General features: G+C 44.0%; 1 annotated feature.

Annotated features, from left to right (window-relative positions):
• Nucleotides 22,207–22,871: an enhancer, noted in NCBI's record as "H3K4me1 hESC enhancer chr8:54522094-54522758 (GRCh37/hg19 assembly coordinates)". NCBI's record gives its function as "activates a minimal SCP1, AML or CMV promoter by ChIP-STARR-seq in naive H9 embryonic stem cells {active_cell/tissue: H9 hESC(naive)}" and the evidence as "EXISTENCE:reporter gene assay evidence [ECO:0000049][PMID:30033119]".

The following is a 23,609-nucleotide window of genomic DNA, read 5'->3' on the forward strand; positions in this document are numbered from 1 at the left end:
TCACTTCAGAATTGTACTAATATTCTTTCCTATCTAAAAAATTTGAGGAGCAGAGAATTTGAATATCTCATTTGGTATAGCCCAAAGATTTGGTCAAAATGAATAAATACATGAATACAAAAATAAAAGCTACTCTAGAAAACCTGGAAAGTCCTAAATCATGAGATGCTAAATCATGAGCTGTGGTTCCATATCGAGATATTTGGCACATTGTTCTCCAGAGCCAGGGTTTCCCAGACACTGATCTTCAGAATCCTGCTGCAGAATCATCTGGAGTGTTTGTTAAATATGCAGAATCCCAGGACCCACCCAGACCTTTCAATGCTGAATTTCTAGGGTGGGTACGAGACTGTGTGTTTTCAAGCAGCTTCTTAAGTGACTCATGCACACTCCACTCTGAGAATCACTGTAGGACAAGATTAAGGAGTTCCTACTGATCAAGCAGAGATTTCCAATAGGCATTGTTGCCCTTATTGCCTGTCCCTTTTAGTACAGGAATAATGAAGGATTTTCCCCAGAGTAACAAGCCTTTGCAGTCTTTTTCTAAGCATGCAGTGCTGCAAAAGCTCTCTATCCCTGGAATTTTTATCTGTGAGCTTGTCCAAGAGAACTTAATGGTTTTCCAGACCTTTAAAGTCAAGTTTGCCCTCTTTCTCTCAGATTAACACATATGAGCATTTAGGAATAAATAGTTAACAGAAAATTCAGAAATGCTAACAACAGGGAGAAATAAATTATTTACATTATCTCTAAATGCTAGATAACAGAGATTTCTACAATTCTGCTGGCTTTGTGTGGGTTTTACAGATAACCATGCATGGAGATTTTGTTGGAAACCCAAAGAGATACTCATAGATCATAGCCCATATTTCCGTCTCTGCCATCATGACAGAAAGCCAGTGTTGTCCAGCAGGCGGCACAAGGAAGCACTAAAGTCTCTAGAGAATGGTGAGTAATCTCCAACTGAACAGAGGCTGACAGCAACCACTTTAAAAGGCTAATCTAAATGTATGAGCCTTCACCCTTTGCCTGTTCTCTGAATGTTGATTCCAGAAGATGTGCAGCAGAGATGTGCCACCTGCACTTCCTAGATGGATGTGGAAAGGTCAAAGCATTTGTGGCAGAAAACAGTAACTCTCGGGATGAAGCCGATTTAGAAATTACAAGATGTCCTCTAACACTCTTTCCTTTTAGCCAGATGAACACCCTGGTTTGTTTTTCTAAACCCCAGTTAATACTTTGTAGCCTTCAAAGTGCCTTGGGGGAGTTATTCAAGTTCCCTATCAAGGGACTTCCCCTAAGAGTGAGTGGGAAGATCGTTCTGGAAGAAGCACAGAAGCTAGTTTGCAGAAATTTAAGGTGAGTTTAGAAGATGAGGTACTGAAGAGCAAGCCTGATAATTTTCAAATCATTCACAGTAGATAAATAACCATGGGTAGCAACTGATTATGGAAAACCATGCAGGTGAGAGGTTGGTGTCACACACCAAGTTCATGCACAGTCGCCTCATGTGTGGAAAGGATCTCTTCCGACTATATTTTACATCTCATCAGTGGAATTCTTCCTCCAAGTTTTAAGATGAAAAACCTCCCCAGAATCACCAAATCATTTCAAGTTTACAAATTCCAAAATGCCAAATAAATGTTTCTTAAGGAACAATAAAGCTCTGATTAATTTTTGATGACAAAATATTAGGAATCACCATTGTGATAATTTTAAGCCTATCTGAAAGGCTTAAAGATCGTCATTCATTACATCACGTCCAGTTTATCCAATCTTATGGAAGAAAAATTAAGAAAACATTAATTCTTAAATATAGAGAAGTGACTTCAAATCAACTCTCAATAATCCAACCAATGGGATATAATAATTTGGGAAATTCAAAATAGCAGATAATTTTTAAAAATCTATTTACTTTTGTATTTTATCAGGCTTCTTTTAAATTAGTGCATATAACACATAAAGTATAATAAAACTCTTTAAATTACATATTATTCCCCTTATCAGATAGTAAGAAACTGTGAATAAATGAAGAAGAAAAAAAGATTTCTCAACTTAGAAGGAGATGATACTGAAATGCTCTTCATTGTATTATCCAAAAATAAATGTGGGGAGCTGAATGCTGCAGACTCTGAGGAGAAATTTCCTATTAAACAACAATCCAATAGTTATTAGGAAATATTCTGGCAGCATTTCCAGTTTTCAGCACATATACATATAGATATGTTTTATGAGCATAGCACACAGGCCACACAGCCATCCTGAGCAAGAGGCACACCGAGCGTTACCATCTTCTAAGATTTGAGGTGGTTGCTGCTAGGCTAAGACTGTAGAGCGAGAAGTGCCTGGCCAAGACTCTGCACCAAGTTCAGCCTGGGATCTGGCACTCACTGCACTGTGGCGGGTATGTTTGCATTCTCATTTTGCCAAGAATATTATCATTCTCAGCCAAGACATTCACAGGGAACATCAAGGACTGTGGAAAAGTTAAGATACTCCAATGCTCGCTGTTCCATATCTTTGTCCTGACTGTGTTTTATTCATTGAGCTCCGTGCTTGTGCTAATAAAAATAAATCAAGTGAACAGCTTTCACTGAAACTGTAGTGAGAAATAGCACGTCTACAAGTCATTGATATTGCTTAAACTTTGAGTGCATTTCTTAAAGCTTTTTAAGGCAGTTGAGAAGTAGATTGCAAAGTTCTTACTTCAGTCCCCCAAATCAGACCAGCTGGCAATGTGACTCTCTCCCCTAATAGGTTCTGTGTGGGGGATGAGCTTGTGCTTACACCCACTTCGCCTTGCTGGAAGTAACAGTTTCAGGCTTCTTCAACATAGTTTCTCCTTGGATGAGAAGGATGGAACAAAAGATTCACAAAGCAGATGGCACAAATCCCAGGATGCCAGGCAAAACTTGTGGCCATTGCTTCCTCTCCTGTTCCGTCCCCATGATGGGCGAAATGCACAGCTGTCACTCACCACAGGCCACTAAGTAAACCTCTGTTCTTTGTTACATTGGCCAAATTTGCAAAGACACACAGGGAACACAAACACATCCTTCAAAATATCAGGATGGGCATTTGCCTCAACAGCCTAACAGCAAATGCCCACAGACAAACTGTTCCACCACAGGGGCCTCTGGAGAGAGCTGGCAGAGGTTTGTTGAAGATAAATCGGAGAGGCAGGATGAGATTTTGTTCCAAATGGCTAGATTAGGCTGGGTTCTAATTCATTCTCAAATGCCATTCCCCTGCCTCAAAATTGAGCGTAAACACTACATAGCACCACACTGCACTCAATACCACAAGTCAGGAGCCTTTGAAGCAGGAGGAGAGGAAGGGATGGTGAGAGATTGTTTATTATTTCAGATGGAGAAAGAAGGGTGGGAGATGGCTGATCCCCCTCACCTCCACTAAGGCCGGAAGAGTCTGCGTTCTCCTGCTCAACCCAACGCAAATATTACACTCCCTGGCATATGCAGCTTGGTACCTTTTTTTTTTTTTTTGAGATGGAGTCTCGCTGTGTCACTCAGGCTGGAGTGCAGTGGTACAATCTCAGCTCACTGCAACCTCTGCCTCCTGGGTTCAAGCGATTCTCCTGCCTCAGCCTCCTGAGTAGCTGAGACTACAGGCACGAGCCACCATGCCCAGCTAATTTTTGCATTTTTAGCAGAGACAGGGTTTCACCATATTGGCCAGGCGAGTCTCGAACTCCTGATCTCATGATCCACCCACCTCAGCCTCCCAAAGTGCTGGGATTACAGGCATGAGCCACTGCACCCGGCCTGCAGCTTGGTACTTTTTAATAGCAGATAAAAGAGCACATTGCATGGCTTGTCTTACAATGCAAATTTGCCAAGTTCGTGGCCTCAGCCTCCAGGAAATCTATTGTTTCAGAAAAACCTTTCTCAGCTCTTGAGAATGATAGTGACTTCATGTGTTGCATCCAGATATCTCTCTTGGTCACCCTGCAGCTTCCTGGTCCCTGGCTCAACCCTGTCTTTGGCCATCACTCCTCCTGTCCGCAAATCAGCCTTAAACAAATAAAGCTCTACTTTTGAAGGATATTGCAGGAAAAATCTACCAAGTTGCTTTATGAGGAAAATGCCAGCGAATAATGATTTAGATAAATTTCTTAAAACGGGATTGTCGACAATTTGGCACTCAAAAATGTTAGGGAAAGAAGGGGAATAGGGGCCAAGGGGAAGATCTCTAGGAAAGGATTTTCACTGACCAACCCCTCCAGGACCTCTGCGATTAAACGAACACCCAGCTCAAGCTGTCATGCGGACCCCCTCCCTCAACACTCCTGGGTTCCTCCGAGTACCTTCAGGACATGATGTGCTACTGCAGAAAGCACATAGCGATGGCTTCATAAAATCACAGACTTTGAAAGTGACTAGGGAATGTAGAGACCATCCATCCAAATCTTTCATGTTATTGGTAGGGAAACAGGTCTAGAGAGATAAAGAGACTCACCCAAGGCCACAGAAGTAACTGGAAAAGATCATAGATGTCAGTTTCATCTTGACCGTAGGGGCTGGAAGCTCTGCCAAGCCACCTACACACTACCAAACTCAATTCATTGCAATTGCACTTTAGCTCAGCTAGAGCTCCCAGCTGCAACTTGGTAGCACCTGGGAGAAACAGAGACAAGCTGGCAGAGATTACCACCCCCTCCCCTGCCGCCACCTGCTAAGGTCAGCCAAACTCTCAGAATAGAGCCCAGAAGATTGCACCTGTTTTTCCTTGTTTTTTTAGACATCCACTGTTTGACCTAATATTTTCTGAAATGGCTGTATTTTACCTCTGTCCTTTCTCATTCTCTACGGTGAAGTCACTGAGGCTGTCAACTGGATCACAGCACCTTTCTGTGAACACTTAGCACACGGTATGGAGGAATGAAGAAGTGCTTGTGACTCTGAGCCACCCTAGCAAATGGGCAGTGCCCTAACTCAGGAGTCCAGAAATGAGTGAAATTTGAAGACCTTAGAAAGTGGCCCAAGGAGAAGGACAAACATAATTGGGAGGAAATGAGCCAGCTGAGAACAATTGGAGAGAATGGGGAGTGCTATATTCTCTATTGAAATATCAGGGCCTACGAGGACTCCAATAAATGTCTCCAAGTTGTATTGCTGGTAATGAGAAGCTATTTCTCACTCCACTAAGAATGAAGATAGAGATGCGAAAAGAAATAAGAACTGAGATGAAGAGGGAGAGAGGACTGAATGGAGCCATATGTCTGTGTCTGTTAGAGTGGTTTTAAAGTTGGCTGCTACAGTGATTTGGAAACTATTGCCCTGGTTTCAGGAGTGAAGGAGGTCAAGCTCCAGGGCATGCTATTCTCACTTAGACTCAGAGCCAGCCCTGCCTCAGTAGCTCAGCACCCAAGGCCTTCTGGAATCTGTCAGCTGAATTCGTCCTGCTGTTCCACGCTATGCACTTAGTCTCTCTCTCTCTCAATCTCTCCCTCTCTCTCAATCTCTCTCTCTCTCTCAACCTCTATCTCTCTCTCTCTTTCTCTCTCTCTGTCCCTCTCTTGCCCCTCACCCCCCAACACACACACACACACACACACACACACACACACACATTCCTTGGAAACTATTGCATAAAAATAAGAGAATAAATTCTATTTTTCTGAATTGTATTTTTAAAGACACAGGAAAAAATATAAGATTTGGGTACTTTTATACCCAACAAGTGATTTTATAAAGAGTCAAAATAAAAATGAAATTACTTTCAAGAAGAAAGATCTGATGGAATAAATGAATTAGAAGGGAATTGCCAAGGGAAATCCTAGTTAGAAAGATCCCCCAAATCCAGGAGCTGAAATAATTAGCCAAGATATGAGCTGAGGTAGCTCCATTGGGATATTCAGTTCACAGTCACGAGAAACTACACAGGGGTCGAGAGCTCAGTCTCACCACCCAGGTTGGCATATTCTTGGAGAAATGGAAAAAGTGGTGAGGAAACAAGGATAGAAAATCTCAGATTTAGAAACAGAGTGTTGAGGCGGCAGTTGACATTTTCACTTTGATGACTAACTTGAGCCGCATGTCATGAGCAGGGTGGGCTGTCAACACATCTATCTGTAGGTTTGTTTTTAATTTTTTCTTCAATTGTTGCATCAAAGGCTTATCAGAAAGTAGTATTTGATTAATATGTGTCATTTCAGTAAAGATGCATATTTTCCTGGAAAAAACAGGACCCCAGTTGGTCTCAGGCACCGTACTGAATTGAGCCTACTTCGGAGCTCACATATGGCAGGAAGGGCACCGGCACCATGCCCCACATGCAAGCTGGTCACTCGCCACAGCTGGAAGGACAGTGCACCAGACAGCGGTGTTTTCTGGAACACTTTTCTTCCTTCACTCTGCTCAGCTAAATTAGCCTCACCCTTCCAACTCGAAGAAAGTCCCACCTTTCCCAGAAGTGTTTCCACTCTGGCACACATCGAACCTTCTTTCTGTAAACCTCTATACACGTATGAAACTCAGAATGTCCTGGTAATGCTTAGCTGTGAGGAATCTCATCTTCCCCTCAGTAAGCCAGTTCTCTCAAAAGGCAGCGACCAGTCATACCGATTCTTATACCCCTTGAGTATCTCCCATGGAACATGGCCTGGTGCTGAACCTGTGAATTTGCAGTGAACACACAACACACAAGACTCGCCACATCACATACACCACACACACAATACATACAATACACCACACATACATACATATAACATGCACAACACACCACCTACAAACCCACACAACACATACACATGCTACACAAAACATACATGTCCACACACACCACCCACACAAATATACTCACCACACACACAAACACAGCAATGCCCCACCCACAGTGGCTGCGATGGTTCCTGCATTTCTCTTTAGTCTCTCGCAGCCCTGCAGCCGGTCCTGAGCGTTACTCAGCTGGGGGATAACAGACCTGATGCGTCCGCCTCCAGCCCAGCCCTACCAGCCCCAGGCGAACTCCTCAGGCCCAGATCCTGCTCCAGGAGCCCAGCCTCAGGAGGGCCGTGTAACCCCCAAGGCCCCACTGATGCGGCGCTGAGCCCCACGGCGCTCCCGACAGCCCTGCCCACTTGGCCAGGTGCAGGTGCCCACCCTCCGTGGACCCTGGGGTTGGCATGGAGGGCCCCACCCAGGCAAACTCGTTCCCCACAAGTCCTGTCCCAAGCCTGGTGGGGCCCAGTTCCTTCCCGGCCGGGGGCGCCAGCTCCCGCCTTGCCCTGCAGCTCAGCATCCCAAGGGCGGCATGGCTCAGACGCCCCGGTCCGATGGGCTAGGCTCATCTTAGAGAAGTTGCCCAGCGAGCCCCACCCCATGCGGCCGGGAAATCAGGCACTGCGGGGGGCGCCGTGTGGCTGGTGGATGCCGTGGACGTGAAGGCGACGAGGCATGGGTGACGGGTTCCCTGGTGTCGGGAAGCCACGCCCCGTGGCTGTGCCGCGCCCTTGCAGCCAAGCTTCCCAGCCTTGGGGGTGCAGGTCTGCCTGCGATTGCCTCTGCCCACTCGGATCCTTCTTGAAGGCCAACCTCACCAGCACTGGAAGCATCCTGAGCACGATGGAGTAGGGGATGAGCCCAGCCAGGAAGCTTAGGACTCTCAGTGCAGCTTGGCTGGCGCTCCTCTGCTCAGCCTGCCCTCACTCTGGGCAGAGAGGTCCCCAAAGCTGCGGCCTGCTGCGCACGGCCTATTTGACAGCTCTTCTTGTGCCCTGGAGAGTCACCCCATGCCCAGCATTTCCGGCCATCAGAGAGAGGGCCTGCCCCTCAGGGCAGTGTGCACCAGCCCAAAATGCCCATCCCAGTGCTGCCCACCCCACGCCCCCCTAGTGCAGACCTCCTGAGCTGAATCCCTACCTGAATCAGGCCCCAGCTCCTCAGCTTTCTCAGATGGTTCTACTCGTCCAGTCTCTGGCGGGCCCTGCCTTTTCTCCTATCCTCAGTGGCTGTGCTTCTGGGCCCCACCTCAGCTGCACGGACCCAGGAGAGCAATATGGCTAGAGGCTCTGGCACTGGACTCAGACCTCTGGGGTACAAATCCTGGATCTACTAAATAATTCTCACTGTGTTGATTTGGGCAAACCATATAAACTCTAGATATCAGTATCCTGCAAAATAGAAGTATTAATAGTACCAACTGCGTTAAGTTATTGCATAAATTAAACCATCAAATTCACATAGAGCATCCAGCCCTGGTAACTAGTATTGTTATCACCAGCTACATCTTGACTTGGGGCATACTAATGTCTGTTTTTATCCCTTTGTCTCCCTTTCTTCAACTGCCTCTATGTCCCCATGGCCAGGCCTCCCTGTTAATGTCCCCATGCCCTGGATCTTTCAAGAAACCCACCCCCACGGTATAAATGACCTGCTCAGGACCTGACCCTCTCACATCCTGTCCTGTGCTGTTTTCTTCTTATCTGATAAGTGGACCTCCAATGAGGACGTTTGTGGCTGACAACATAATGTTCTGACCTGCAGTATTTTCAGCTAAAGAAGTACCCGAATGAGCCATAACATCGTCACCCTGGCTGCATGTTGGCCCCATCTGGAAACTCTTAAAAGCATGGATGACTGGGTTGTAGCTACAGTTTGCAAGTTCGTTGGTATGGACAGCAGCCAAGGTGTCAGTAATTTTAAAATTCCTCAGGAGCTTCTAATATGCAACCGAAGTTGAGAACCTATACCTTAGCTCAGAGGATGGATCACCTGGAAAAGAATTTTGAGCACAGTGGCAGCTGGGCAGGGTGATATCCCAACCAGGCCATGAGTGTGCTGGGGAAAGGTTTGGTATCGGGAGACCTGGCTTTGAATCTGTTTCTGTTAATTATGAACGAGTTACTTCAGCTATCCAAGCCTCAATGTTCTCATCTAAAAATGGGGTAGTAACACACACTTCATTAGAGTTTGGGGAGATTGCATTGAGCTGATGCACATGAAGTGCCGGGCATGGTGCGTGGGCCTGAGTAGTCTCTGGAATATAGTAATTTTTTTACTTTTTCCCTTTTCCCACAAGCCACATGATTGCAGCAATCCCATCTCTATGAAGGTTGCAAGAGCCAGTCTACAAGATTTGAGGTCAAGTGTGCTAATCCGTGGGGAAATAGACTTCACCCTTGTTTCTTGCCATTTGGCTCTCACTGCCTGCAGGACCACACTGTGACTTTACTGCTCATGGCCATGCTCTCCCTCCCCATCTGATACTTCTTGCACTAGCTTGTAGTCATTTAAAGATGGTCCCCTGTCCACTCATCTACTATTGCACATCAATCAATCATTCTTTTCCTTCCTACAGTCCAAACTTTCCCTCCCGTGATTTATGGCACACTTACTGACAAGTGCACTGTCAATCAATTGTCAAAACTCACAAATACAGACAGTCTGTGTCTTTGTTTATGCTGCTATAACAAAACACTGAAGACTAAGTCATCTATAAATAACAGAAATTTATTTCTCACAGTTTTGGAGGCTGCAAAATCCAAGATCTAGGCACCAGAAGGTCCAGTGTTTTCTGCTTCCAAGAAAGCACCCTGAATGTAGTCTCCTGACAGGGCAGAAAAGCAGAAGAGAGTGAACCCATTCCCTCAAGCTGCCCCCACTGGCTTTTTTTTTTTTTTTTCTGGAGACAGAGTCTCACTCTGTCATGCAGGCTGGAGTGCAGTGGCATGATCTCGGCTCACTGCAACCTCCGCCTCCCAGGTTCAAGCAATTCTCCTGCCTCAGCCTCCCAAGTAGCTGGGACTAAAGGTGTGCACCCACCACACCCCGCTAATTTTTTGTATGTTAGTGGAGACAGGGTTTCACTGTGTTTCCCAGGTGAGTCTCAAACTCCTGAGCTCAGGCAATCCGCCCACCTCAGCCTCCCAAAGTGCTAGGATTACAGGTGGGAGCCACTGCACCCAGCCCCCTCAAGCCCTTTTATAAGGTCCCTAATCCCATCATGAGGGCTCTGCCTTCATGACTTAATTATTATCTAAAGGCTCCACCTCTTAATATTATCATCTTGATGATAAAATTACAACATACGAATTTTGGAGGACACATTCTGGGAGAGAGGATTTGTGTGGTTCACGGACAATGTCTACCAAGTGTCCTTTCTCTTGCCTTTCCCTGACTTTGCTTGTTATTTAGAAGAGAAACTATGCACGATTCATCAGGAGCACCCTCACCTAACCAATTCCCTGCTGTAAGTTGGGAGGCTGGCTTCCCCTTCTGGGCATGGGGATCACTTGCTGACCTCCAGAATTCCTGTCCCACTGTCACCTCCAATCTCTCCTGTCTCTGACTTCTCTCTCCTGCTTTGAAACTTCCATCAAACCTCACGCAAGCTCGGTTACCCACCATCCTCAAAACACTTTTTCTCATCCTCTCTGCTTTCTTCCCTTTGCTTTCAAACACCTTAAGGGCACAGTCTTTCTGCTCCCTCCCTCCTCCTTCTCACTTCCTAGCCACTTCTCTACCCTTAGATTCAGGTATTTGTACCCACAAATGAAACTGTTTTCAAAAAATTCACTAAAAACTATCTAGCTGCCAAACCTGATGCATAATCCTGCATTTTGGCATTTGAGCTATTGCTCATGCAGATGGGTAGAAACTTCACAGTCATTTTCTGTTGCATGGAGTAAGCCCTTATGGTAGGAAGAGCCAGACAGAGGCCACTGAAACTGCCCCCTCCCAGCCAAGATAATAAATCAGAATCAATACTCTGGTTGACGGTCCCTAGCCTATCCCTATTTAACTCACTTGCATGGCCCCTGCAAAACCCAGAAAGAGTAAGGTAAGAATGGCGTGTGTCTCAGTCTGTTCATGCTGCTATAACAAAATACCTGAGACTGGATAATTTCTTTTCTAAAAAACAGAAATTTATTTCTCACAGTTCTGGAGGCTGGAAATTCAAGATCACGGCACCAGCAGGGTTGAGGTCTGGTGAGGACTTGGTCTCTACTTGTTGCTGCATCCTCTGGAGGGGATAAACTCTGTGTCTCACATGGCAGAAAGATGGATGGGCAGAAGGGGCCTCACTGGTTCCCTCCAGCCCTTTCATAAGGTTGTTAATCCCATTCATGAGTGCTCTGCCCTCAAGACTTAATCTCCTCCTAAAGGCCCCATGTCTTAAAACAATTGCTTTGGGGATTGAGCTTCAAGTTGAATTTTGGAGGGAAAACAAACATTAAAACCATAGCAGCACACTACCATGAACTTAACCAACAGCCCTCATCATTGTTGCTGGGCCAGATATAGCATATTTACTTGAACAAATAGCACAGCCTCTGGCAGTTGGTACAGAGCTATGGTCTGGATGAATATGTTCTTTTCAATCCTCATCACTAAAGGAGACCAAAAGTCATTGACATTCATGGTAATGAGAGAAGTGCACATTCATTCTCTTGCCCCAGGTCTGGGTGAGCTCTCCTGGCCCATTCCAAAATACTTCACAGGGACCTGGATCACCCAACAATCCACATAGCTTCACAAGGTCCACTACATTGGCGAGATCATACTTACTGTACCTGGTGCACAGGAGTGGTAAAAGCTATAAGTGCAATGATAAGAAACATGCATTCCATAGTGTGAGAGATAAACCTCAAAAAAACTCAGGGTCCTCCCACATCTGTGATGCTTTCAGGGGTCCAATAGCCTGGAGAAAGGTCAAAGGTAAGTCATTGCCTCCCATACCAATAAGAAAGAGGACTAGAACTTGATCTAGATTTTGGAGGAAACATATACTGCACTTGAGCATTCAATTTCAGTCTCTATATTAGGTGCTCCCAGAAGGCGGCCAAGCCACAAGGGTTCTGTAGAAGGTCCAGGTTCCAGGGCCAGCTTCCAAAGCAAACCATGACCTGACAAATCCAAATGAGCTAGAGGTTTCCAAGGCAGATTAGGAGACCACATGGAATCTCTAGCAAGCCCCAGTAGGAAAATCACAGCAGAGACCCCAGGTATCTGGAATAAGGCCACGCAGAGGACTTCAAATAGCAGCCCCTGTGCATCACTGGGCCCTACTAAGGAGTGAGCACCTATCCACACAAACAACTGGAGCTGCCCATCATGAGCTAGGTGTTGTTGGTATTTGTTGCATAGCAATAGCCATGTTTCAGTTATCTATTAGTATGTAACAAACTCCCCCAGAAGTAAGTGGCTTAAAACAACAATTTTACTGCCTCACAATTTTGTTGGTCAGAGTAGTGATTGTCTTATATGAAGGCTCAGGGTTCCCAAAAATACAAAAGTGGAAGCTGCTAAGCCTACTGTAGACCTTAATGATCCATGTCGCAAATCTACTCCCTGCTCTCAATGTACCTAACAGTTTTGTTCCATTATAGAATCAGGCTCAGTCTTGAGGTCCAAGTGTGAGCCATTCCTCAGACCCAGAACCCACTGCCTTCATCTCAATCATCATCAACTCAATCAGGGCTGGAAGCAGCCCTCCAGAAGCAGTTCCTCCTGATCAAAAGATCTGTGAACTCCAAAGACAAAGTATCCACCCCAGATGCACCCAAAATACGGTGTCAAGGCAATCAGGGGAGAACCACAACAGACATTTCCAATCCAAAAGAAAGAAAATGGAAGACACAAAGCAGTCACTCTATGCCTATACCCATTATGAAACCCAGCTGGGCACATGGTCCTCAACAAAAGCCTAGTTGCAGAGATGTGAGGATGGGCCTTTGGGACTTCAGGGCACACACATGTGGGTCTTCCTGTCTCCCATCAGTGCCTACTGGAGAGCATGTGCCTTAGAGGAGACAACAAGGTAGACAGAGTAGTTTATCCAGGAAATGTCAGCTTCTGTCCTCAGCTGCCTAGTACATGGACAGTGGCCCACGAGTGGAGCAGCCATGGTGGCAGTACAGGAGGAACACTGCTCATTGACAAAACCACATAGCCTCCACTCACTATGGCCTACCCAGTTACCCAGTGAACCAGCAGTAGAGCATTGGAGCAGACAAGCCAGCTACTGGTAATTAACCTGCTGCTAGGTTAACTACCTTGCATATCTCCCACCCTGGAGGGAGCAGCAATTCATTCCTACGGAATTGACTATAGATATTGATTTCCTTTCCCTGCATGCTGTGCTGCTGCCAGCACCATTATTTGAAGACTTAGTGTGCCTTTTTATCACTATTGATCCTGACATATGGGATAGCATGATCCCTTATCACCTCAGACTAAGGGACCCGGCTTATAGTGAAGGAGGTGTGATAAGGATCACATAATGCATCACTCTTAAGCAAATGTCTGGACCCATTGCTCTACTTCCATTTATTTTCTGTACTACTGTAGTTTTTTCCTAAATAAAAATCTGATACTTGCCATCCCAGACTAAAACCCTCTGATCATTCCCCAAAGTCTGCAGGTTATAGCCTGAGCCCCTCAGTACACTGTATAAGGCCTTTTACAATCTGGCACCAAACCCTTTCTCCACCCACATCTCCTGATGTTCCCCACATTTTTCACAAAAAGCTGCACTAAACTTGCCCTGTTTCCTGACAGTACATACCCCCTAAGGCCATGTCACTTGCATTTGCTACTCCTTTTTCTGGAATATTCTTGCTTTAACTCTCCCCCTATAACATTCCCCAGCCCCTTTAAGATCTGTATTAGCAATCTATAGCTGTGTAACAAATTGTCACAAATGTAACAGCTTGAAGGTGCATCCATTTATAATATTCCAGCACCTGTGGGAGGGATCCACCTATGGCTCAGGTGCATCTTCTGTTCCAGGGTCCTTCACTAGCTGCAATCAAGGTATTGGTTAGGGCTGCAGCCTCATCTCAAGGCTCAACCAGGGAAAGATCTGCTACCAAGCTTCTGTGGTTGTTGGCAGAATTCAGTTCCTTGCAGGCTATTGGAGGAGGACCTAATTTTTTTGCCAGCTGTCCAGCTAGAAGCCACCCTCAGCTCCTGGACACATGGGCCTCTCCACAGGGCAACTCACAACATGGCATCTTACCTCATAAAAGCCAGCAACAGAGAGAGTCTGCTTGCAAGACACAAATCACACTCTGATGTGACATAATCACAGAAATGCCATCGGATCACCTTTGCCATGTTCTATTCACTAGAAACGAGTCACAGGTCCTGCCTACATTCAAGGGGAGGGGACACAGGGGCATGGACACCAAGAGCTAGGGGGCGTTGAGACCCTCTTAGTGTCCCCAACCATAGGACCTGATTGTACCATCGCTGGGGTCTCCCTGAGCCACTCTGTCCTGCATCTTTACAGCACATGTCTCAGATGGAGTCTTATGTATGCACTCTCATGGCATTCCTGGTAAAAATCCCTCAGCAGGCATCCTGCTCACTATAGATATCCTGCACAGTGGCTTTTCATGTTGGGGCAGGGAGGACACTGGTACAACCACCCTCTTCCAGGTATGCCTTCACTTTCCAGAGCAGGAGGGGATGGGAGGTTTACAAAGGTGGATTTCTATAAATTTACTCCTTTATAGCTTTCTGCTTCTCCTAAGAAAAATGCTCATAGATTAGACAATCCAACCAAAAAATTATTCTGTTTGAAAGTGAAATCAAGGTTTAGGTTTTATCAGTACATGGTATCACTTAAGGTAACTTACATGCCAAAACAATTTTAGCCACTCTTTCCACTGAAATTTTTAGCCAAGGGAAAATAGATGTCATGAATTTCTGTGCACAATACTTCAAATCCCCATGAACTCCCTGTAGAATAAGTATTATTGCCTCTATTTTGCAGATGAGGAAATGGAAGCTCAGTTTGAGTAATCTGTTATTGATAGAATCAGAACTCAACATTTGGGTCCCAGATGCCTCCATCATTATACCTGCCTTGTACTCAGTGCCTGGTGGAAGCTCAAGGTCAGGGGGTGCATGGCCCCACCCTGCTTCCCCATCAATGCATACTCACCTGCAGCCGTTAACTGCAACACACTCTCCCATGGCCCCTCCAGCCACCATTGGAGTATTGTTGCCAGCAAACTGGGAACATCTCAGCCCCTCCAGCACAGCAGGTGCTTTACCTTGAAGGGCCAGAAAACAAAGCCATAAGCCTGAGTTAGAGTGTGCAGCTCAGGAGTGCTGAGCGAAGCCTTGGCCCCCTGAAACCATCCAGAAACAAAGCCAATCAACTAAAGCCAACTTATACCAGTTAAGCCCTCAAGGGCATCAAAGAATATAAAAGCAAAAAGCCCCATCCAAAGGACGGCAACTTCAAAGATTAGAGAAACATCATCCCACAGAGATGAGAAACAACCAGTACAAGAATTCTGGAAACTCTAAAAGCCAAAGTGCCTTTTTACCTCCAAACAACCACACTAGCTCCCTTGCAATGATTTTTAACCAGATTGAAATGGCTGAAATGACAGACATAGAATTCAGAATCTAAATGACAAGGAAGCTCAACAAGATACAGGAGAAGGTTGAAATCCAATATAAGGAAACCAGTAAAACAATCCAAGAGTTGAAAGACGACATAGCCATTTTAAGGAAGAACAAAACTGAACTTCTGGAAATGAAAAATTAACTATAAGAATTTCATAATGCCATTGGAAGCATTAACAACAGAATAGACCAAGCTGAGGAAATAACCCCAGAGCTCAAAGACTACTCTTTCGAATTGAGATAGGTAGACAAAAATATAGAAAAAAATGATTTTTTAAAATGAACAAAACCTCAAAGAAATATGGAATTATGTAAAGAGGCCAAACTTATAACTCATTGACATACCTGAAAGAGATGGACAGAGAGCAAGCAACCTGGAAAACATATTTGAGGATATTATCCACAAAAATTTTCCCAAACTTATTAAGAGAAGTCAACATGTAAATTCAGAAAATTCAGAGAACGCTTTCAAGATACTACACAAGATGCCCATCCCCAAGACACATAGTCATCAGATTCTCCATGGTCAATGTGAGAGCAAAAACCTTAAAGGCAGCTAGAAAAAAAGGGGCATGTCACATACAAAGGGAACCACATCACACTAACAGAACTTTCAGCAGAAACCCTAGAAGACAGAAGAGATTGGGGGACTATGTTTAGCATTCCTAAAGAAAAGAAACTGCAACCAATAATTCCATATTCAGCCAAATTAGGCTTCATAAGAGAAGGAGAAATAAGATCCCTTTCAGACAAGCAATGCTAAGGGAATTTGTTACCACCAGACCTACCTTCTAAAAGGTCCTTAAGGGAATGCTAAACATGGAAATGAAAGACCAATACCTGCCACCACAGAAACACACTTAAGTACAGAACCCCCGACACTAAAGCAACTATACAATCAAGTCTATATAACAACCAACTAACAACATGATGACGGAATCAAATCCTCACATATCAATATTGACCTTGAACGTAATCAGGTTAAATGCCATTTAAAGGCACAGAGTGACAAGTTGGATATAAAGCAAAACCTAACTGTATGCTGTCTTAAAGAGACCCATCTCACATGAAATGACATCCATAGACTCAAAGTAAAGGGATAGAGAAATATCTATGAAGCAAATGGAAAGCAAAAAAGAGCAGAGGTTGCTATTCTTATTTCAAATAAAACAGACTTTAAACCAACAACAATCGAAAGGGACAAAGAAGGGCATTACACCATGATAAAGGGTTCAATTCAACAAGAAGACTTAACTATCCTAAATATATATGCACCCAACATTGAAGCACCCAGATTCAGAGAGACCTGTGAAGAGACTTAGATAACCACATAATAATAGTGGGAGACTTCAGCATCCCACTGACAATGTTAGGCAGATCATTGAGGCAGAAAACCAATGAAGACATTCAGGACTTAAACTCAACACTTGACCATTTGGATCTAACATATATCTACAGAATAGTCCACCCCACAACAACAGAATATACATTCTTCTCATCTACACACAGCACCTACTTTAAAATCAACCACATGCTCAGCCATAAAGCAATTCTCAACAAACTCAACAAAAATGAAATCACACCAACCCCATTCTTCGACCACAGTGCATTAAAAATATAAATCAATACCATAAAGAATTCTCAAAACCATATAATTACATAGATATTAAACAACCTTATCCTGAATGACCTTTGGGTATAGAATGAAATTAAGGCAGAAATCAAAAACTTATTTGAAAATAATGAAAATTAAGATATACAAAAATCTCTGGAACACACTAAAGCAGTATTAAGAGGAAAGATTATAACACTAAGTTTCTACATCAAGAAGTTAGAAAGATTTCAAACTGACAACCTAACATCATGCCTAGAGAAACTAGAAAACAAGAGAAAACCAACTCCAAAGCTAGGAGAAGAAAAGAAATGACCAAAACCAGAGCTGCCCTGAGCAAAACTGAAACAAAAAAAATCGACACTAAATATCAATGAAGCCAAAATCTTGTTATTTGAAAAAATAAACAAGATTAATAGACTGCTAGCTGGATTAATAAACAGAAAAAAATGAGCTCCTAATAAACATAATCAGAAATGACCAAGGTGACATTACCACCAACCCCACAGAAATACAAAAAACCCTCAGAGACTATTATGAACAACTTTATGATTAGAAACTAGAAAACCTGGAAGAAAATGGACAAATGCCTGAAAACATACAACCTCACAAGATTGAACCAAAAGAAATTAACACCCTGAACAGATCAATAACAAGTTCTGAAACTGAATCCATGACAAAACACCTACCAACGAGAAAAAGCCCTGGACCAGACGGTTCACAACCGAATTTTACCAGACATTCAAAAAAGAGCTGGTATCAATCCTACTGAAGTTATTCCAAAAAATTAAGAAGAAGGGACTCCTCCCCAACTCATTCTATGAGGCCAACATTATTCTGATACCAAAGCTTGGCAGAGACACAATAGAAAAAGAAAACTTCAGGCCAATATTCCTGATAAACATAGATGCAAAAATCCTCAATAATATACTAGCAAACCAAATCCAGCAGCACAAGAAAAAGCTAATCCACCAGGATCAAGTAGGCTTTATTCCTGGAGTGCAAGGTTGTCTCAATATATGCAAACCAACCAATGTGATTCATCACAAAAACAGAACTAAAAACAAAAACCACATGATCATCTCAATAGATGGAGAAAAAGCTTTCAATAAAATTCAACATCCCTTTATATTAAAATCCCTCAACAAATTAGGAACCAAAAGAACATACATCACAATAATAAGAGCCATCTATAACAAACCAACAGCCAACATCACACTGAACAGCAAAAGCTAGAAGCATTCCCCTTGAGAAACAAAGCAAGACAACAATGCACACTCTCACCACTCCTACTCAACATAGTATTGGAAGTCCTGTCCAGGGCAATAAGGCAAGATAAATAAGTAAAACGCATCCAAATAGGAAGAGATGAAATCAAACTATCTCCCTTTGCAGATGATATTATTTTATACCTACAAAACCCCACAGTCTCTGCCCAAATCCTCCTAGGAAACCAGTAAAACAATCCAAGAGTTGAAAGATGATATCGCCATTTTAAGAAAGAACCAAACTGAACTTCTGATAAACAACTTCTGTAAAGTTTCAGGATACAAAATCAATATACAAAAATCAGTAGCATTTCTATACATCGATAAAGTCCAAGCTGAGAGCCAAAACAAGAATGCAATCTCATTTATAATAGTCACAAACAGAATAAAATACCTAGGAATACAGCTAAACAGGGAGATGAAAGATCTCTACAATGAGAATTATAAAATATTACTGAAAGAAAAAATGGAAAAAACATTTCATGCTCATGGGTAGGAAGAATCAATATTGTTAAAATGGTTCTACTGCCCAAAGCAATTTACAGATTCAGTGCTATTCCTATCAAACTGCTAACCTTATTTTTCACAGGATTAGAAAAAGCTATCCTAAAATTCATATAGAACCATAAAAGAGCCCAAGTAGCCAAAGGAATCCTAAGCAAAAAGAGCAAAGTTGGTGGCATCACATTATCCAACTTCAAACTATACTATAAGGCTATAGTAACCAAAACAGCATGGTACTGGTACAAAAACAGACCTGTAGACCAATGGAACAGTTTAGAGAGCCCAGAAATAAAGCCACACACCTTCAACCATCTGATCGTCAACAAGGTTGACAATAACAAGCAATGGAGAAAGGACTTTACTCAATAAATGGTGCTGGGATAACTGGCTAGCCAAATGCAGAAGAATGAAACATGACCCCTTCTTTTCACCATATAAAAGACTTAAATGTAAGACCTAAAACTATTAAAAACCCTAGAAGAAAACCTAGGAAACACCAATCTGGACATAAGAACTGGCAAAGATTCCATGAGAAGTCTCCAAAAGCAACTGCAACAAAAACAAAAATTGACAAATGGGACTTAATTAAACTGAAGAGCTTCTCACAGCAAAAAAAAAAAAAAAAAAAAGTATTAAGAGAGTAAACAACTTACAATATGGAAGAAAATATTCACAAACTATGCATCCAACAAAGAATCTTTAAAGACTTAAATCAACAAGCAAAAAACAAGCAACTCCATTAGAAAATGCACAAAAGACATGAACAGACACTTCTCAAAAGAAGACATACATGCAGCCAAGAAGTATATGAAAAAATGTTCAGCATCACTAATTATTAGAGAAATGCAAATCAGAACCATAATGAGATACCATCTTGTATCAGCCAGATTGCCTATTATTAAAAAGTCAAAAAATAACAGGTATTGGTAAGATTGTGGAGAAAGAGAATATTTATACATCGCTGGTGGGAATGTAAATTAGTTCAGTCACTGTGGAAAGTAGTTTGGTGATTTCTCAAAGAACTTAAAACAGAACTACCATTTGACCTGGCAATCTCACTACTGGGAATATACCCAAAGGAATATAAATCATTCTACCAAAAAGACATATGCACCCATATGTTTGTCACAGCACTATTCACAATAGCAAGACATGGAATCAACCTAGGTGCCCATTAACAGTGAACTGGATAAAGCAAATGTGGCACATATACACCATGGAATACTGTGCACTGTTAAGAAGAGATCACATCCTTTGCAGCAACATGGATGCACCTGGAGGCCATTATCCTAAGGGAATTAATGTAGGAACAGAAAACCAAATACTGCATGTTCTCACTTATAAGTGGGAGCTGAACACTGAGTTCACATGGACACAAATATGGGGACTACTTGAGTAGGGAGGGTGGGAGGAGGAGGGTGAGGGTCAAAAAACTACCTATTGAGTATTATGCTCACTACCTGGATGAGGAAATCATTTATACTCCAAACCCCAGCAACACACAATTTACCCAGGTAACAAACATGCACATGTACCCCCTGAATCTAAAGTAAAAGTTGGAGAAAGAAAAACAATCAGAAGGTGGCTGCTGGACAAGGAGGGGAGCTCCCAGGCAGCTCTGATTCCACATCCAGGCAAACATGCAGCATGGTGGATTTCAGCTCCAGAAGCTTCTCCCTGACTGCCCCATCTAGTGGGGTCGAGTGGCCTCAGATGCAGCCACAGCGGCAGTGAGGACCCCGCAAGCGGAAGCCAGGGCAAAACTTGGGGTCTAGAGAACTGTCACTTGATTAGCTTATGAGCTCCTCTAATATCCTAGGTGCTAAAGGTAACAACTCTTACCAAAAGAAAATTCCCTTGAAAGTCTGCTTTAGTCAACTGCATTCATGACATCTGTGCAGTTTCACCATTTTGCCTCAAAGACAATCACATTCCTCAAAAATGCCCAATTACATGCAAAATCCTGGCAACTACCAATTTACTGTATTCACGATCCTCCTCTTGGCAACTCCAAATCTAACAATCAAGTCACATTCCTGTGAGTCCACCAGGAGAAGCAGGAGGCACGCAGCCTCATCTCCTTCAGGGGGATTTCACAGCCAGTGGATGGTGAGGGCCTCTGGGCATGGGGTCTTTCTGGGACAGAAGAAGGCAAGGGAACCCTTAGCAATGACATGATTAACCTGGGCTCTGTCTCTAAGTATTATCCCATAGAACTCGGTTTACCGCTATCAGAAAAATTTTGTTTTGTGTAAAATGCCCCCAAATGTCACTAGTTCATTTGTGAATGATTCATTTTTTAAAAAAATCCTTACTGCATGCCTGCTTTTCCCCAGGGCTCTCTTCTCATCACAGACTTCCATCATCTTCCGATTCCCTCCCTGATGAAGGTGTGTGATGTACTAGAAAGTGCTACAAACCATTCTTCAAAGTCTCCACTAACAAGGTACACGGCTCTAATTCTAATGTGCTTATTTTAGTCCTCCTGGCCTTAGGACAATGAGAGGAGGGAGAGAGAATAGATGGTCCCAGGGTTTGTTTCCACTCCTGAGGGGAAGTAAATTGAACAATCTTTAATCAGCTTATTTTATCAGCTTTAAATATGACTTTTACTAACTTGCCTTGGATTAAGTCCCTCCAGGGGGCACTTAAAAAAAAAAAAGAAGAAGAAGCATAACTGGGCACAGTGGCCTGGGCCTGTAATCGCAGCTACTCAGGAGGCCCAGGAGGGAGGGTTGCTTGAGCCCAGGAGTTCAAGACCAGCCTGGGCAACATAGTGGGGCCCCTGTCTCTAAACAAAATTAAAATATAAAACAACAAAACAAACATAAGAAATAAACAAGCTTAGCCTTTTCTTCAGAAATCCCATGTCATTTCTCCCAGATTGTTTCTGTTTTATGGGTAACAAAACCACCTCTCAGCATGTCCTCTGGGTTGGATGTAAGTATGCTCAGCCAAAGTATTTATAACACAGTATCTTTCAACATTCCTCCCCCTACTTTTCTTGTCTCGTCCCCTAATTTTGTCTCTTACCTTACATTTCTAAGCCCCCACAAGGCAGGTAATGAAGTATTTTATCCTAAGAAAAAGAAAGAAAGAAATCCCATGTCATTAGGAGTAGCTGAAACTAGTCTCTCTCAAAAATAAATGAAATAGGTTTGTATGAACTCTAAGGACGGACTGGGCTTAGCAAACCCTGCCCCAGTGCCATGCTGCGCTCACACCAGAGACTTGATGGGGCCCTGGGGCAGTGCCCCAGGAGCGCAGGGCACAGCCCAGCACACGCTTGGCACTCGGAAGCATTCCTTAGGCAGAGACCCTGCACCAGTGATATGTGTGGGTCACTGCTTTGCTCTCCAGAGAGAATCCCAGAGGCCTGGGGAGAGCCCAAGCCACTCCGCTCAGGCAGGCGAGACTTTGATCCTGTGTCTTTAAACTGCAGCCCTGGAAACGTTCACCTAAAAAGACAAGGCCCCTGGGAGTGAACCCTGCAAAGCCAGGGAGCCTGGCAGTGTCTGCGGGTTCGCGATGTATGAAGAGCCTCTGGCAGGTCAGTGGGTGCGTGCACCGTGCACCAGTGAAGCAGGGCGAGGCATTGCCTCACTCGGGAAGCGCAAGGGGTCAGGGAGTTCCCTTTCCTAGTCAAAGAAAGGGGTGACGGATGGCACCTGGAAAATCGGGTCACTCCCACCCGAATACTGCGCTTTTCCGACGGGCTTAAAAAACCGCACACCATGAGATTATATCCGGCACCTGGCTCAGAGGGTCCTACGCCCACGGAGTCTCGCTGATTGCTAGCACAGCAGTCTGAGATCAAACTGCAAGGCGGCAGCGAGACTGGGGGAGGGGCACCAGCCATTGCCCAGGCTTGCTTAGGTAAACAAAGCAGCCAGGAAGCTGGAACTGGGTGGAGCCCACCACAGCTCAAGGAGGCCTGCCTGCCTCTCTAGGCTCCACCTCTGGGGGCAGGGCACAGACAAACAAAAAGACAGCAGTAACCTCTGCAGACTTAAATGTCCCTGTCTGACAGCTTTGAAGAGAGCAGTGGTTCTCCCAGTACGCAGCTGGAGATCTGAGAATGGGCAGACTGCCTCCTCAAGTGGGTCCCTGACCCCTGACCCCCGAGCAGCCTAACTGGGAGGCACCCCCACAGCAGGGGCACACTGACACCTCATACGGCAGGGTACTCCAACAGACCTGCAGCTGAGGGTCCTGTCTGTTAGAAGGAAAACTAACAAACAGAAAGGACATCCACACCAAAAACCCATCTGTACATCACCATCATCAGGGACCAAAAGTAGATAAAACCACAAAGATGGGGAAAAAACAGAACAGAAAAACTGGAAACTAAAATGCAGAGCGCCTCTCCTCCTCCAAAGGAACGCAGTTCCTCACCAGCAATGGAACAAAGCTGGACAGAGAACGACTTTGACGAGCTGAGAGAAGAAGGCTTCAGATGATCAAATTACTCTGAGCTACGGGAGGACATTCAAACCAAAGGCAAAGAAGTAGAAAACTTTGAAAAAAATTTAGAAGAATGTATAACTAGAATAACCAATACAGAGAAGTGCTTAAAGGAGCTGATGGAGCTGAAAACCAAGGCTCAAGAACTACGTGAAGAATGCAGAAGCCTCAGGAGCCGATGCGATCAACTGGAAGAAAGGGTATCAGTGATGGAAGATGAAATGAATGAAATGAAGCGAGAAGGGAAGTTTAGAGAAAAAAGAATACAAAAGAAATGAGCAAAGCCTCCAAGAAATATGGGACTATGTGAAAAGACCAAATCTACGTCGGATTGGTGTACCTGAAAATGACGGGGAGAATGGAACCAAGTTGGAA

The sequence above is a fragment of the Homo sapiens genome, chromosome 8, assembly GCF_000001405.40.
Source record: "Homo sapiens chromosome 8, GRCh38.p14 Primary Assembly".
Classification (NCBI taxonomy): domain Eukaryota; kingdom Metazoa; phylum Chordata; class Mammalia; order Primates; family Hominidae; genus Homo; species Homo sapiens.